General features: G+C 41.6%; 1 long non-coding RNA gene across 1 annotated transcript; it reads right to left on the reverse strand.

The window, feature by feature from the left end:
- Nucleotides 1–359: 359 nt before the first annotated feature.
- LOC124900935 (uncharacterized) lies at nt 360–4,849 on the reverse strand. Its single transcript, XR_007058682.1, has 2 exons — nt 3,290–4,849; nt 360–1,748 (listed from the first exon to the last, which is right to left on the reverse strand). It is a non-coding gene; the product is annotated as an uncharacterized LOC124900935 (long non-coding RNA).
- Between the last annotated feature and the right edge of the window lie 14,053 nt (nt 4,850–18,902).

An 18,902-nucleotide genomic window follows, 5' to 3' on the forward strand; every position in this document is an offset into this window, starting at 1 on the left:
TGTGTAGCATAAATGTGAACTTTCTACTCAGGTGAGATTGTGGTCTGGAATTTTAATTTCTCCTTGAAGATATTTTCTCAGAGGCAAGGCAGGCCCGAGTTGTTCCCTGTCCTAGGAGGAGGCAGAACGTGTCTGTCTCTCTTTCTCTGGCTTTGCAGCCCTCTAAGAGTTGCAGTATTATACACGGGCTTTGAACTGCAAGCTCATCCACTGTGCAGGCAACACACCGTTAGAGTGGCTGCTGCCTCTCAGGACGGTGCCTCTGGCTCTCAGCTCCACTTTGCTTCTGGGCCTGGCTGTCTATAAATCTTTCTTGGAAATTTAACCTCACTTAAAGACAGAAAAGCACACACTCATTATTTCAGTAAATTTTTTTAATGGAAATCTTGAAAATATTTGTCACAGATGGGGTGAAGCTAGGGGCACTCCATGAGTGACACTGTCCAGCAAGCTTTGTCCTGGCTCTGCCCTGGGCTCCTTCCTCCACCCTCGTCTGTCCTGCCTGTCTTCCACCGTGGGCACTGCTGGTGCCCGAGAACTTGCTGGACCTGTGCACCATGTGCCACAGCTTCAGAAACTCCACTCCCCTCCAGCTTCAGCCTGGGTGGGTGTAAAAGTTTATCACCTTCTTCTGAAGTGTTATGTTCAGGTGACATTAAAGTGCGTCTTTTTAACCCTAGAACTAGTCGCATCATGCTGTCTCAAAATTCCATCAGATGGTCAAAGCCCAGCAGGGACGATTCTGAAATGTTGAGTTCCTACATTCCTTCAACTGAGTAGCACTTGCCCATTTGGCCCCTAGACATCTACTTTTATGATGTTTTAAATAAAAATGTTACATTTCAATCTCTTGAATAACCATCCATCTCCTGGCCTCTTAAAGATGAAATCTTAAACAATTGCACACCTGATGGAGATGTTTCGCTGCCATTCTCTTTGAGGTTCTCTATTCAGCTTCTTAGGATCTAAAAATCTTCCCTAAGAAATATCTGACCTAGCCAGATTTTGGATGTGACGTTCCCTCATTCTCCCTGCCTCGTTCATATCCCACCCCTACTGATGCTCCATCAGCCAAGGCCCTGCTTAGGTGTCTCATTCTCCAGACACTGGATGCCTGCCCTTCTGGGTGCATGCCACCCTGACTGTCTCCTGATGCTCAGAGACCTGGCGATAACTTTGTATCCTGCCTAGGGAAGCTTCCCCAGGCATCCCAGAGATGGCCGCTCGCCCACTAGGAAATCCACTTCTGCTCAGTCTCATGCTCGCTGGCCCTGGCCTTTTGTAGCACCAGGGACCTGGATGACAGTGATCATGTTGGCCCAAGTCTGTATGTCCCTGCTGAGACCTACTCAAGGTCCTGCCTGCTCAGCCAACACTATCCAGGGATGATGTTCGGATTCTTTCTCCAGGTGCAGGAATGGCTCATAACCAGTACAATGATGTAGCTTTGTGCATGAGGTATTTTGGCTTAGGTTTGAAATATTTTTAAGTTGCCAGTACCTCTGTAGATTTCATATTCTTCCTGTGCGAAGAGCAGCACTGTCAGGAAGAGGTTGTGATGTTGTAGCCTGCAGCTTTGGCTCTGCAGCTTGGCTTGTCCAGCATGTTCCCACATGATGCAGAGATGTGATGGCTATTGTCCTGGTGACTTTTGGAGAATGTTGCCTCTCAATTTGGCCCCATATGAATGCAAAGAAATCTCTACTATGTGGTAATCAGTGCAGTGCTGTGGCTTTCATCCACCTAATCTATAAATAAGGAAGCCAGACAGAAAAATCAGACAGATACATCTGTCTGTGAAAGGATTAAAACAATTTCCTTATGTAAGCCATGGTTTAAGGAATACAGGCTGAAAATGGCAATGACTTAGAAATAAGCTGACGCTTGAAAAAAGGTAAGGAAAAGAGGTTTGAGTTTGAAAGTTGATGAATAAGAATACTTATGAGTTAATACCTCTTAGTCTCTTTTTAACTGTATTTTTAATGCGCTTCATAAGAGTATCTCATGTTCCCTTTTGACCAGAAAACAGAAGCCAAGAGAGGTTTAGGACTGCATGAGGTCTTAGTGTGAAGTTACTGAGAAAGTGGATGAGAGCCCAGATCTCCTGTCTAGTCTGAGTTTCTATATATTTTTGCAATAATGCCTACCCTCCACTCTCCAGGTCCTGCAAACCTCATATAGGGTCGGGTGTAGCTAAGCCAGGATATAGGGAGGAGAATAAAGAGGCTCCCAGAAAGCTCTGCCCTGGGCAGGGGGCTGCCTTGGAACTTCCATAAGTCTCACTTTGATGGGGGGAAGAGATTACAGAGCAGGACTTGCGTGGAGTGTGTGTGCAGGGTGTATTAAAGATCACACTTTAGATTACTGCTATAACATTTTATACTTGTCCAGGCAGCAGCAAAGTTCCTGACGTGGTGGCATAGAGCATGCAGGTCAGCCAGGTCTCCTGTGTTGGCAGTGATATTGGAATAATGCCAACTCATACGGGATGCTCTACTTCTTAAATAAAGGATTTTTTTTTGGTACATATTGTTTAAAGCATTTTTAAGAATACCTGCATCTATCTTATAAATTTTATTTTTAATAGTGATTCTGAAAACACAATAACCATGCCACTTTCACATCATTCTAAGCCTAAGTCTGGGTAAAATCACATAAGAGTTCATGGGCCAAACCCCAGAGAATTTAGGGCCACAGAGGTCTACTGGAAAGTAAGAAAAACAAAAGAAAGCAAAACCTCTTGGATAGTCTATAAGCATATTGCTTTATTTTTATGTCAAAACTCTATGTTACCAGAAGAGATATTTTTGAGAAAATCCCACGTAGCAAAATGGTAACATTGAGCTGAAATATTTTCATGAGAAATATGTACTTCAGAATGTAGTGTCAGTTTTGTTTTTAAAGTGTCTGAGTAACAAAGGAAACTTATTTTCCCTTCATAAAAATTTAAAACATAAATTTTTCAAAAAATAGCCTAAGCAATATCTGGGAAAATATGATTAACAAATTAACATGCTAAATATTTACAGATTATAATTAAAAACTCATTCAGGACCCATTTTAAGGGGCACAGGAAAGCAAAGAATATAAAAAGACAACACAAAAATTAAAATGTAGTTATAAAAAGAGGTGAAAAATTTTATCCACACTACTGAATAGAGATACGCAGTTCAAAATAATAATAAGGTAAAATTAGACAGCATTTAACATACTTCAGGACTAATGGTGCTTTATACTGGCAGAGCTATAGTGAGATGGACACACTTTGGCAGCAGAAATTGGTACTTACTTTTTGGAAAATTACTTGGAAATATGTAGCTAGAACCTCTAGAATTATTATTGTTTGAACAGTAATTTCAATTCCTGAAGACATAATATGTAAGACAGTTGAGGAAATACTTCAATGTCTTGACAAAGGTGGTCCCAACAGTGTTATATATGAAGTTAAATATTGTAAATAGCCTATTGAGGCTCAATGATGGAAGAGAGCATAGGATAAAACATGAGACTTCAAGTAACGTTCACAAATGATGAAGAATTTTAGCAGCGGTGCTGCTATAGTGCAAAAAGGTAAAAATGAACATACAAAATTTTATATGCACCCACTTTTTAAAAAGTTCTCTGAAAATATTGGTTAGAAAAACACCAAAATGTTAGTAGCAATTGCTTCTGGGTGATGAGATTATAAGTACTTTTCATTGTAGGCTTGTGTTTTGTGTATATTCAAAAGGTTTTGACGTAAGCATGCTTCGCTGTTGTATCATAAAAAAAGAAAACTAAAAATCAGATGCCTGTGTGGTTTCTACTAGTGGCTTTTATGTTAATGAAGGTTTCCCGACTCCCCTGCATTCTCAGCACTCACTGTGGCATGTGCTTTACTCAGAGGCTGGCAACCACACACAGTAACATCTTCACTCCCCGTAATCAATTTTGATTGGTGTTGGACACAGAGACCTTGGTTTGCAGCTTCCAGTGGAAGAATGACTGGAGAAATCATCACCTTGTCACATTCTTACAGGGCTATATTTTCAACATCAAAATCATTTCCCCAGGAGAAACATGAAAATGGAAGTTTCCTTTTAAAACCTGCTCGTGAGTGTAGAAAATCACACAGGAGTTGGGGTACGGAAACGGTGGCGTCTGTAAGTGTTGCTCTATGGGAAGGTGGGATAATGAGATTTCACCAAGGCCTGGATAGCAGGAGGCCTTGAAATTGTGCAATTGTGCTGATGAAGTAGCAGCTGGAGCACACGTCTAGCATTCTCTTCCTTCAGAGGCCGTTTCAGGATTTCCTTTCATGGCAACTCACACATACTTCTTTGCTGGTTTGTATTTGATTTAAATATCACGTATTGTGACATGATTTCTTCAATTTTCCTGATACTTTCATGCTAAAATGAGGGTGGGGCAAGAGCAAAGGCAGTAGCCGGGTATGAATTTGCCATTACCTGCCACGTAGGTAAGCAGGGAAGTACAATGGACACCGCGTATCTGGAAGAAGCTGACCAGGTGTACCACACGGTTTCTGGGGAAGGGATCAGAGGAGACTCCAGTGTGGTTCATTTAGAATCTTAGAATTCCAAAATAATTCAGAATTCTTTCACATCCATCTTAATATAGGTATTTGGTTATACAAGTGGTGATGGAAGAAGTGAAAAGGCAGACAGGATGGGGCGGTAACCCAGAGTGTAATAACAATGGGAAACTGTCGCCACCTCTAGTTTAGGAAAAGCAAAGTTGAAAATAGATACATGTTAATGTATTAGAAATCTCAGTACTATAAAGAAGTCAGGGGAGGGCGGCCAAGATGGCCAAATAGGAACAGCTCTGGTCTACAGCTCCCAGCATGAGCGACGCAGAAGATGGGTGATTTCTGCATTTCCATCTGAGGTACCGGGTTCATCTCACCAGGGAGTGCCAGACAGTGGGCACAGGACAATGGGTGCAGCGCACTGTGCATGAGCCGAAGCAGGGCGAGGCATTACCTCACTCAGGAAGCACAAGGGGTCAGGGAGTTCCCTTTCCTAGTCAGAGAAGGGGGTGACAGACAGCACCTGGAGAATCGGGTCACTCCCACCCTAATACTGCGCTTTTCTGACGGGCTTAAAAAACAGCACACCAGGAGATTATATCCTGCACCTGGCTTGGAGGGTCCTATGCCCACAGAGTCTCACTGATTGCTAGCACAGCAGTCTGAGATCGAACGGCAAGGCGGCAGCGAGGCTGGGGGAGGGGCGCCCACCATTGCCCAGGCTTGCTTAGGTAAACAAAGCAGCCAGGAAGCTCGAACTAGGTGGAGCCCACCACAGCTCAAGGAGGCCTGCCTGCCTCTGTAGGCTCCACCTCTGGGGGCAGGGCACAAACAAACAAAAAGACAGCAGTAACCTCTGCAGACTTAAATGTCCCTGTCTGACAGCTTTGAAGAGAACAGCTGTTCTCCCAGCATGCAGCTGGAGATCTGAGAACGGGCAGACTGCCTCCTCAAGTGGGTCCCTGACCCCTGACCCCCGAGCAGCCTAACTGGGAGGCACCCCCCAGTAGGGGCAGACTGACTCCTCACACGGCTGGGTACTCCTCTGAGACAAAACTTCCAGAGGAACGATCAGACAGCGGCATTCGCGGTTCACGAAAATCTGCTGGTCTGCAGCCACCGCTGCTGATACCCAGGGAAACAGGGTCTGGAATGGACTTCTAGCAAACTCCAACAGACCTGCAGCTGAGGGTCCTGTCTGTTAGAAGGAAAACTAACAAACAGAAAGGACATCCACACCAAAAACCCATCTGTACATCACCATCATCAAAAACCAAAAGTAGATAAAACCACAAAGATGGGAAAAAAACAGAGCAGAAAAACTGGAAACTCTAAAAAGCAGAGCGCCTCTCCTCCTCCAAAGGAACACAGTTCCTCACCAGCAATGGAACAAAGCTGGACGGAGAATGACTTTGACAAGTTGAGAGAAGAAGGCTTCAGACGATCAAACTACTCCAAGCTACAGGAGGAAATTCAAACCAAAGGCAAAGAAGTTAAAAACTTTGAAAAATTTAGACGAATGTATAACTAGAAAAACCAATACAGAGAAGTGCTTAAAGGAGCTGATGGAGCTGAAAGCCAAGGCTCAAGAACTACGTGAAGAATGTAGAAGCCTCAGGAGCCGATGTGATCAACTGGAAGAAAGGGTATCAGTGATGGAAAATGAAATGAATGAAATGAAGCGAGAAGGGAAGTTTAGAGAAAAAAGAATAAAAAGAAATGAACAAAGCCTCCAAGAAATATGGGACTATGTGAAAAGACCAAATCTACGTCTGATTGATGTACCTGAAAGTGATGAGGATAATGGAACCAAGTTGGAAAACACTCTGCAGGATACTATCCAGGAGAACTTCCCCAATCTAGCAAGGCAGGCCAACATTCAGATTCAGGAAATACAGAGAATGCAACAAAGATACTCCTCGAGAAGAGCAACTCCAAGACACATAATTATCAGGTTCACCAAAGTTGAAATGAAGGAAAAAATATTAAGGGCAGCCAGAGAGAAAGGTCGGGTTACCCTCAAAGGGAAGCCCATCAGACTAACAGTGGATCTCTCAGCAGAAACCCTACAAGCCAGAAGAGAGTGGGGGCCAACATTCAACATTCTTAAAGACAAGAATTTTCAACCCAGAATTTCATATCCAGCCAAACTAAGCTTCATAAGTGAAGGAGAAATAAAATACTTTACAGACAAGCAAATGCTGAGAGATTTTGTCACCACCAGGCCTGCCCTAAAAGAGCTCCTGAAGGAAGCACTAAACATGGAAAGGAACAAGCGGTACCAGCTGCTGCAAAATCATGCCAAAATGTAAAGACCATCAAGACTAGGAAGAAACTGCAACTAAGGAGCAAAATAACCAGCTAACATCATAATGACAGGATCAGATTCACACATAACAATATTAACTTTAAATGTAAATGGACTAAATGCTGGAATTAAAAGACACAGACTGGCAAATTGGATAAAGAGTCAAGACCCATCAGTGTGCTGTATTCAGGAAATCCATCTCACGTGCAGACACACACATAGGCTCAAAATAAAAGGATGGAGGAAGATCTACCAAGCAAATGGAAAACAAAAAAAGGCAGGGGTTGCAATCCTAGTCTCTGATAAAACAGACTTGAAACCAACAAAGATCAAAAGAGACAAAGAAGGCCATTACATAATGGTAAAGGGATCAATTCAACAAGAAGAGCTAACTATCCTAAATATATATGCACCCAATACAGGAGCACCCAGATTCATAAAGCAAGTCCTGAGTGACCTACAAAGAGACTTAGACTCCCACACATTAATAATGGGAGACTTTAACACCCCACTGTCAACATTAGACAGATCAACAAGACAGAAAGTCAACAAGGATACCAAGGAATTGAACTCAGCTCTGCACCAAGTGGACCTAATAGACATCTACAGAACTCTCCACCCCAAATCAACAGAATATACATTTTTTTCAGCACCACACCACACCTATTCCAAAATTGACCACATACTTGGAAGTAAAGCTCTCCTCAGCAAATGTAAAAGAACAGAGATTATAACAAACTGTCTCTCAGACCACAGTGCAATCAAACTAGAACTCAGGATTAAGAATCTCACTCAAAACCACTCAACTACATGGAAACTGAACAACCTGCTCCTGAATGACTACTGGGTACATAACGAAATGAAGGCAGAAATAAAGATGTTCTTTGAAACCAACGAGAACAAAGACACAACATACCAGACTCTCTGGGACACATTCAAAGCAGTGTGTACAGGGAAATTTATAGCACTAAATGCCCACAAGAGAAAGCAGGAAAGATCCAAAATTGACACCCTAACATCACAATTAAAAGAACTAGAAAAGCAAGAGCAAACAAATTCAAAAGCTAGCAGAAGGCAAGAAATAACTAAAATCAGAGCAGAACTGAAGGAAATAGAGACACAAAAAACCCTTCAAAAAATTAATGAATCCAGGAGCTGGTTTTTTGAAAGGATCAACAAAATTGACAGACCACTAGCAAGACTAATAAAGAAAAAAAGAGAGAAGAATCAAACAGACGCAATGAAAAATGATAAAGGGGATATCACCACCGATCCCACAGAAATACAAACTACCATCAGAGAATACTACAAACAACTCTACACAAATCAACTAGAAAATCTAGAAGAAATGAAGAAATTCCTCGACACATACACTCTCCCAAGACTAAACCAGGAAGAAGTTGAATCTCTGAATAGACCAATAACAGGCTCTGAAATTGTGGCAATAATCAATAGCTTACCAACCAAAAAGAGTCCAGGACCAGGTGGATTCACAGCCGAATTCTACCAGAGGTACAAGGAGGAACTGGTACCATTCCTTCTGAAACTATTCCAATCAATAGAAAAAGAGGGAATCCTCCCTAACTCATTTTATGAGGCCAGCATCATCCTGATACCAAAGCCGGGCAGAGACACAACCAAAAAAGAGAATTTTAGACCAATATCCTTGATGAACATTGATGCAAAAATCCTCAATAAAATACTGGCAAACCGAATCCAGCAGCACATCAAAAAGCTTATCCACCATGATCAAGTGGGCTTCATCCCTGGGATGCAAGGCTGGTTCAATATACGCAAATCAATAAATGTAATCCAGCATATAAACAGAACCAAAGACAAAAACCACATGATTATCTCAATAGATGAAGAAAAGGCCTTTGACAAAATTCAACAACCCTTCATGCTAAAAACTCTCAATAAATTAGGTATTGATGGGACATATCTCAAAATAATAAGAGCTATCTATGACAAACCCACAGCCAATATCATACTGAATGGGCAAAAACTGGAAGCATTCCCTTTGAAAACTGGCACAAGACAGGGATGCCCTCTCTCACCACTCCTATTCAACATAGTGTTGGAAGTTCTGGCCAGGGCAATTAGGCAGGAGAAGGAAATAAAGGGTATTCAATTAGGAAAAGAGGAAGTCAAATTGTCCCTGTTTGCAGACGACATGATTGTATATCTAGAAAACCCCATTGTCTCAGCCCAAAATCTCCTTAAGCTGATAAGCAACTTCAGCAAAGTCTCAGGATACAAAATCAATGTACAAAAATCACAAGCATTCTTATACACCAATAACAGACAAACAGCCAAATCATGAGTGAACTCCCATTCACAATTGCTTCAAAGAGAATAAAATACCTAGGAATCCAACTTACAGGGGACGTGAAGGACCTCTTCAAGGAGAACTACAAACCACTGCTCAAGGAAATAAAAGAGGATACAAACAAATGGAAGAACATTCCATGTTCATGGGTGCGAAGAATCAATATCGTGAAAATGGCCATACTGCCCAAGGTAATTTATAGATTCAGTGCCATCCCCATCAAGTTACCAATGACTTTCTTCACGGAATTGGGAAAAACTACTTTAAAGTTCATATGGAACGAAAAAAGAGCCTGCATCGCCAAGTCAATCCTAAGCCAAAAGAACAAAGCTGGAGGCATCACACTACCTGACTTCAAACTATACTACAAGGCTACAGTAACCAAAACAGCATGGTACTGGTACCAAAACAGAGATATAGATCAATGGAAGAGAACAGAGCCCTCAGAAATAACGCCGCATATCTACAACTATCTGATCTTTGACAAACCTGAGAAAAACAAGCAATGGGGAAAGGATTCCCTATTTAATAAATGGTGCTGGGAAAACTGGCTAGCCATATGTAGAAAGCTGAAACTTGATCCCTTCCTTACACCTAATACAAAAATTAACTCAAGATGGATTAAAGACTTAAACATTAGACCTAAAACCATGAAAACCCTAGAAAACCTAGGCAATACCATTCAGGACATAGGCATGGCAAGGACTTCATGTCTAAAACACCAAAAGCAATGGCAATCAAAGCCAAAATTGACAAATGGGATCTAATTAAACTACAGAGCTTCTGCACAGCAAAAGAAACTACCCATCAGAGTGAACAGGCAACCTACAAAATGGGAGAAAATTTTCACAACCTACTCATCTGACAAAGGGCTAATATCCAGAATCCACAATGAACTCAAACAAATTTACAAGAAAAAAAGAAACAACCCTATCAAAAAGTGGGCAAAGGATATGAACAGACACTTCTCAAAAGAAGATATTTATGCAGCCAAAAGACACATGAAAAAATGCTCATCATCACTGGCCATCAGAGAAATGCAAATCAAAACCACAATGAGATATCATCTCACACCAGTTAGAATGGCAATCATTAAAAAGTCAGGAAACAACAGGTGCTGGAGAGGATGTGGAGAAATAGGAACACTTTTACACTGTTGGTGGGACTGTAAACTAGTTCAACCATTGTGGAAGTCAGTGTGGCGATTCCTCAGGGATCTAGAACCAGAAATACCATTTGACCCAGCCATCCCATTACTGGGTATATACCCAAAGGACTATAAATCTTGCTGGTATAAAGACACATGCACACATATGTTTATTGCGGCACTATTCACAATAGCAAAGACTTGGATCCAACCCAAATGTCCAACAATGATAGACTGGATTAAGAAAATGTGGCACATATACACCATGGAATACTATGCAGCCATAAAAAATGATGGGTTCATGTCCTTTGTAGGCACATGGATGAAACTGGAAATCATCATTCTCAGTAAACTATTGCAAAGACAAAAAACCAAACACCACATATTCTCACTCATAGGTGGGAAGTGAACAATGAGAACACATGGACACAGGAAGGGTAACATCACGCTCTGGGGACTGTTGTGGGGTGGGGGGAGGGGGGAGGGCTAGCATTAGGAGATATACCTAATGCTAAATGACGAGTTAATGGGTGCAGCACACCATGGCACATGTAAACATATGTAACTTACCTGCACATTGTGCACATGTACCCTAAAACTTAAAGTATAATAAGAATAAGATAAAAAATAAAAAATAAATAATTAAATAAAACTTCTTATAGTTCCCTAAAAAAAAAAAAAGAAGTCAGTTCTCCCCAAATTGAGCATACATTCAAGGCGATCTTAATCATAACTGCCAGAACATTTTCTTTGGAAATTAGCAAGTTGACTCTAAAGTTATATGGAAATGTAAAGGATCTAGAATAACCAAAATAATTTTGAGAAAGAACAAAGTTGAAAGATTTAAAATTGTTGACTTCAAGAGTTACTAAAAACCTATAGTAATCAAGAGAGTATGGTGTTGGTATAAGACAAGAAAGATCAACAAAAGAAATAAAAAGTCCAGAAATAGACGTTCACTTATAAGATCAACTGATTTCTCATAAAGGTGTCATAGCAACTTAATGGGGGAATTAATGATTTTGAATAAATGATGCTGGAATACCTGGATATCTGTGGATAAAAGAGGCATTTATGTAATTCCACTTGCTCATTGAATTCAAATGCAATCAGAATTTGTAAGGAAAGCCAATGGACTTGACATGAAAAGGTGACGTTGCTGAAACCCTTTCAGTGGAGTTTACGGACAGAAGGTAGAATGTTGAGGTTTGAGGGGGTGGAAGTGGCAATGAGGATGCTGAGAAGAGACGATCGTCAGGAAGTGAGGCAGTGAAGCAATCACTAAGGAAGCAAAGTAGATTGGAACTCAGACAACAGAGCTGTGATGGGACCTTTTTATTCACGATGAGAGCTCAACAATTTCAAGATGAAGGGAGGGCTGAGAGGCAGAAGGAAGATCGCTGATGGCTCTCATGAGCCCAGCAGAGAGGAGGATATGCTGTCTGTACTAAAGCCAGAAGGCTTGGGAATGGAGAGAACTACTCCTGCCTCAGAGTAGCAGAGAACGAGGTGCAAACAGGAGCAAAGCTGTGCACAGATGTGTAGGAGGGAGACAGAGAGTGTTCACCTGCCAGCCTCAACCCCCTGGGTGCAGTGGGTAGGGTAGTTTGGAATCCCAGACAGTGGAACAGGGAAGCAGCCACTGTGCCCTGTCCCAACCAATGGTCAGAGCCCTGCTGCACCTGGAACCGTAGACTTGTCTTTGGCTTCTTGAGCCCTGGTTCTCCAGGAGCTGCACCTCAGAAGTGGAAAGGCATCTTTTCATAAGGAATCATTTACATGTAAATTGCTTATTAACTGTTCATAGTAATTCACCTCAAGATGCATATGGAAATCCACCAGGGTGCCCTATTCATTTATTGGATGGTCAGCAATTATGTATTACCACACCACGTATCAGGCACTTTTCTAGGTACTGTAAATATATTTGTAAAAAAGGTAGATGGCCTTTCTCACGGGGGCTAAATTCATTGAGAGCACAGAGATGGGAAACAAATTATACATAAGAAAAGATGAATGGGCAAAATGGGGAAACGCACAGCAGACACACAGAGCAGTGTGACAGAGAAGGGACCAGGGGGCCTGCCTTTAAATGAATAGCCAAGGAAGGACTCTCCGAGAAGCTAGCATCTGATCCAAGACTTAATAATAGGAAGGAGACAACCATGGAAACCTGCAGATGGAGCAGTCAGGCAGAGAACAGAGACTCTCAGCTGAAGCTGAGACAGCTGCTGGTCTAGCCATCCAAGATAGCATCTGAGAGATGGGTGAGCGGCTGGCCTTGATAGGGCAGGTGGATATTACTCAAAGCATAATAAAACATCACAGTGGGTTTTAAGGAGACACTGAAATAATTTACTGTATGGTGTTTGTTTGTTTATTTGTTTGTTTGTTTTTTTGACAGTGAGTCTCGCTGTGTAGCCCAGGCTGGAGTGCAGTGGCACGATCTCAGCTCACTGCAACCTCTGCCTCCCGGGTTCAAGCAATTCTCCTGCCTCAGCCTCCCGAGTAGCTGAGACTACAGGCACATGCCACCACGCCCGGCTAATTTTTGTATTTTTAGTAGAGACAGGGTTTCACCATGTTGGCCAGGATGGTCTCAATCTCCTGACCTCGTGATCCACCCGCCTTGGCTTCCCAAAGTGCTAGGATTACAGGCGTGAGCCACTGGGCCCGGCCTGCTGTATATTTTAAGGGAACACTGGGCTGATCTGTGGGGAATGGAGGATGGGAGTGCAGAAGGCCCAAGGTGTCTGTTTAGGAATTGGAAGGAGGTAAGAAATGCTGGGGGCTTTTCTTACTTAAATATCTTGCCTATCTCTTGTCTTTTGTCTTCCTGGTCTCCTTCCTTGTGCCTTTGTTGGCTAAAACTCTAAAAATTGAAGAAACAGCATTGCTTGGGCCACGTGTGGAATGCATAGCAATCATAAGATTAACAAGTTCCACCCTATTCTACATTTTTTTCCTAAATATGTAATATGCATGCGTGATGTTCTTGTTTTTCGGAAAAATGAGAATTATATAATAAGTCCTAAATATAGAATTTGTGGCAGAAACTTCAGAAATATTAATTAATTGTTCACAATTCAATGCAGGGTCTTGCTGCATAAATTCTTATTAAGCCAGAATGTGAATAGTACAAAACCAATGAATGAATATTTTATGCGTGATTCAGCAAGAGATTAGGAATGCCAAACCATTATGATAGGGAATTAAAAAGGAACTTAGAAAATCACAGCAACTAAAATGTTCACAATCAAGATGATTTGAGGTTTTTTTTTTTTCTTAAACAAGAGGCTTTTCAAGCTACCTAAACTGTATCTTTTCGTTAATTTAGTTTTATTGAGCTGGCCATGATAAAGAACTTCAGCATATTTTATATCATTTTATACTTGTTTTACTGGAGTGATTCACTTTAATTTTGCCTTCTGTGTATGATTTTTCTCTCAGAGATAGCTGACCCCAATACAATATATGAAGGAGTTAGCTTATAAAAACTGGACCTAACTACCATTTATTTTTTAGTTAAACATTTTGAGGTAATTACAGATCCACATGCAATTGTAGAAAATAACACAGAGATCCCACGTATCCTTTACCCAGCTTCTCCCAATGGGAACATCTTGAAAAAGTACACTACACTTTCATGTTCAAGATGTTGACATTGCTGGGCGTGGTGTCTCACGCCTGTAATCCCAGCACTTTGGGAGGCCGAGGCGGGTGGATCACTTGAGGTCAGGAGTTCGAGACCAGCCTGACCAACATGGTGAAACTCCGTCTCTACTAAAAATACAAAAATTAGCTGGACATGGTGGCAGGCGCCTATAATCCCAGCTATTCGGGTGGATCACTTGAGGTCAGGAGTTCGAGACCAGCCTGACCAACATGGTGAAACTCCGTCTCTACTGAAAGTATAAAAATTAGCTGGGCGTGGTGGCAGGCGCCTATAATCCCAGCTACTCGGGAAGCTGAGGCAGAATTGCTTGAACCTGGGAGGTGGAGGTTGCCATGAACCAAGTTCACGCCATTGCACTCCAGCCTGGACAAGAGTGAAACTCCATCTCAAAAATAATAATAATAAAAAAGATGTTGACATTGACATGATCCACCCGTCTTAGGTCTCCCAGTTTTCTCTGCATGTGTGCGTGCGCACACGTGCGTGTGTGTAGTTGTATATAATGTTATTAGATGTGCAGGTTCACATATCCACCACCAGTCAAGATTCAGAACCGTTTCATCTGAACACCAAAAAAAAAAAAAAGCTATTTTTTAATTGAGGTAAAACATGCACATGTCTTTTACCATCTTTACCATTTTTAAATGTACAGTTCAGTTGTAGGTAATAAATAGATTTATATTCGTTTTATCCCTTTCATCCTCCTCCCCTTCCCAGCCTCTGGTAACCACCAATCTACTCTCTATCTTCATGAGATCCATGTTTTAGCTCCCATGTATGAGTGAGAACATGCAATATTTGTTTTTCTGTGCTTGGTTTATTTCACTTAACATAATGGCCCTCAGTTCCATCCATGTTGCAAATGACAGGATATCATTCTTTGAATGGCTAAATAATATTTTACCTAGTTATCGGGTAAAATATTCACTTCAGTTTGCTTTTTCAAAATAGTTGTAGCTGTTCTAGGACCTTGCCTTCCTGTGTGACAATCAATTGATTTATCTGTTGGTCTATCTATCGCTCGTGAGCCCTATCTGTCTATTTTTAACTAAAGCATTTTAATCAGTGGCTCAGGATACATGAGGGTGTAATTCACACTACATGTCTTTGTCTTCTGTAACTATTATCTTGCTTCCTTGTTTTATGCCTCATGTGCACATTCTTCAAAAACATTCACTTAATTGGAAACTAAAGGGCATTCGCCTCTAAGCTTTGACAGCAGTGACCTTAGCTAAGTCAATGCTTAGGGTCTTTGAATTCATAGGAAGACTCCTATGAGTCAAGATTTTGAACATGATAGAAATGACATTTTTAATTCAAATATTTAGTTGTTCACAGCACCTTTATTTAGTAAGTGACACACTCAGATAAGACTATATTTTAAGCAACATAAGCTTACTTAGAAATAATATAAATGGACTTTTTCATGTTATATATTCTATTCCTGATGACCATAATCTCTTGCACCCTGGCAGAGATTTTATGAAACAGAAACCAAGTTTGACCCTAAAGATTAATAACACATGCAGCAATTGAAAGTTAGCTGCAAAGAAATAGAGAAAAGTATAATAAATATATATCTGTATTCCTTAAAACCCAGTGGAACTGAGAGGAAGAGAGAACATAATAGAGTAGCCTGAAAATACATTTTTGCTGAGTAAATTTTCCATCATCCAGGATAAAAAATATATATTCTCATTCATATTCTTCCAAGGCCATACATTTTATAATTTGCAGTGATGCAATATTCCAGAAAATGCTCCCATAACTATTGTTGTAAGCAATACAAGTAGGATATGATTTTTAAGGTTTAAAATAAGTGAACTGTTAATTTTCTGTTACTAAGTCACCTCTCCTAAACTTCTTGATTCTTTAGGAAATGGACTGAGTTTTGAAAAAATGTAATCGGCCACAATTAACTCTGTGTGTGTGTGTGTGTGTGTGTGTGTGTGTGTGTGTGTGTTTCCAGATTTAAAGTTAGAATATATTAAAAAGCTAGACAATATTAAAGCTAGATTATGTTAAGCTGAGAAACAGACAGAACATTGTTTTCCTAGAGAACTCATATATTTAGATGGCTGAAAACAGATTATTTTATAACAGATTATTAACTAGTTACTATTATTCAGATATGACAGACTCAATCTTCTATATATCTTAAGAAAAAACTTGTGACCACATATCAAGTAAGCATTTTAAATATAGGATGAATCTTTTTAGGTAAACAGTGAAAACTTAGCCTGGAGCTGTATCCACACCACAGCACATGTTTTGGAATGAAGTCAGCGGGGATAGCTGGGCAGGATGAGCTGTTTCTTTGCATTAGCATCGTGAGTCCCTCACGGCCAGCATGTTGCCATCACTTTTGCTTTTCTCGCCCCCAGAGTAGAACTACAAATAATAGAAGATATTAAATGCCTATGGTTTGCACAGAGCCATCCTGGATTGGTGGGAACAAGTAGCCATTGGGGTCAGACAAACATGCATAATGTCTGTATCAAACAAGGCAGAAGTTGCCAAGTTCCAAAGGACAAGCACGACGTGGCAGGGCACTCATGGGAAGCAGAGGCTACCAGTGATTGAGGAGGGGCAGGAAGAGTCTAATGGAAGAAGAGCCATGTTCACCCAATTCTGAATGTGTTTTGGCAGATAAAGAAGTAGGTCCTGGCCGCTTAAAGAAAAAAAAAAAAGGAAGAAGGAATCTTCAATAATAGCTCCAGCAGAGAGAAAGCCATTAGCGGGCTGAGAGCCAGGAGAACTGTGCTGTGAAAACGAACAATAAGAAAAGGCACTGGATTCAGCCACTTTGAGGAATAGCTCCAAAGAGAAGTGAGGGCCCACATTAATTCAATAAGTAGAAGTTTTCAATTTTTACTCCAACATATGTTTCTTGAGCGCCCATTGCATGTTAATCGTTGGGATAGAGTAGAGACAGCGAGCCCTTCTGCTCTGCCTTCCGGAACCTTGTAGTTTGGTGGTTGAGGCAGATGACAGGATCTGCGAGGGGTAATTAAGGAGAAGAGCCAGAGGCCACAGAAGGTGATAGTGAGGGGTCTCATTTGAGCCACATGGGCCACTGAGTGCTTTGATGCTAGGGCTGGTGTGATCCAGGTCACTCCAGTGGACTGGGGTGCGCAAGAATGGAAGGGGGGCACCCAGGATGCTCACAGCAATCCAGGCAAGATGAGAGAATGCCAGAGAGAGAGGCAACTTCGTATATTGAAGGTAGACTTTGGAGATGATTGGTAAATCTTAGCAATGCACGTGAGAGGGTGGGAGAGATTTCTGGGTACGGAGCCTGAGCAGCTAGGGGTGCCATTCTCTGCAAAAGAGATGGCTAAAAAAGGAGCAGTTTGGGGCAGGAAAGAAAATAACAGTAATACTGGAAATAATAAGCAAATCAGGTAAGACCTACCTGGAAGCATTTTTTTTTTTTTTCTGAGCAGTTGGTATCTGTTGTCTCCCTACAACCCCACAGCATCTCCATTTTGCAAAAGAGAAAACTGAAGACAAAGAGGATAGGCAAATGACCTAAGGTCACACACGAGCAGGACAGCCAGATGGCCACCCAGGACATCTGAATTTGTTTTAGGAAACAATGTCTTTGAGATGCATGTGGGAAATGCACATGGAAAGACATAAACATGAGACCCTTCCACATGAGCCAGGAGCTCAGAAGGTGATCTTCACTGCAGACAGACTATTGGCAATCTCTGGTATAAGGAGAAGGCATTTATTGAAGAGTGAGTGAAAGCTGAGTACAAGAGGCAGATATTACAGTGTCTTCTTTCAAGCAGAAAAGGAAAGAAGAGATGAGACGCATCCACAGGGAGTAAGGGAAGGTGGTTCAAGGACAGGGCAGATTAGACAAGATCCCCCTCCACTTCCACAAAGACAGTGGAAGATGCAAGGGTATCATCGAGCTGGAGCCTGAGGACTGCAGAGCATGGAGGGGTGAGGCCGTTGGCTGGGGGCACAGTGAGTGAGGCAGCAGGAGGAAGCTTTAGTCCCAGGCTAGTGTCACCCAGTGCAGGTGGAAGCCGCAGAAGAATCATGGCACAGATGCTCTGAAGAACATCTCAGACTAAGTGAGCACTCTACAAACACAAACTCAGACAAGACCTGCAGCAAACAACAATAAGGAACATCTTCCCCTACTTCATAAGTGAGAGGCATGAGAGCAGGCATCATACATTTGCACTCAAAGCTGTTTCATATTTTCTGAGGATGGTTCCAAGCAGATCTCTCTCTTTACTTCCACAGAAGAAGAAAAATAAATAAATTTCTGATAAGCTGAATTCTAGCAGAGTGTGGGAGAAAGGATGTTTTTTGAAATATTGGGAATAAAAAATATCTATTGCAACCCACGGTCATTAGTTTGTGTGTTTACTTTGGGGACTCTACATAGATATCCTTATGGCTTGAAGTAAGAATGGGATTGAGCCGTTTATTAAGTGCCTGGCTATTTGAGTTTCCAGGAGGAATAACGGCCTATCTAATGTAATGTGCTGGAAGTGGATCCCACATCAGCTGAGGTCAGGAGACCAGAGCACAGTCAATGGGCCCATGGGGAACACTGGGCACTGCACTGTGGACTCCTCCTGTGGTCTTGCGCTGCAGCAAGACCTGATCTCTGGACTCTGATCTTGTGCTACAAAACCTGATGACATCCCATTTCCAACCCCACTTCCTTCTCCTGGGCAGACAAATAAGGCAATTCTCAGTTTCCCCTGCAGCTCTGCTGGGGCTGTGTGATTGAATTCTGGACAACAGAATCTGAATAGATGTAATAGAAGCCAATTTTTAGGTGTGACCATAAGCCCCATTTCCCAGATATCCTCTTTGTCTCTCCCCATTTGCATAGCTGGAAGTCAAGAAGTCCAATATTTCAAAGGAGCACACGAAGCGGGA

This window comes from Homo sapiens, chromosome 5 (genome assembly GCF_000001405.40).
Source record: "Homo sapiens chromosome 5, GRCh38.p14 Primary Assembly".
NCBI lineage: Eukaryota > Metazoa > Chordata > Mammalia > Primates > Hominidae > Homo > Homo sapiens.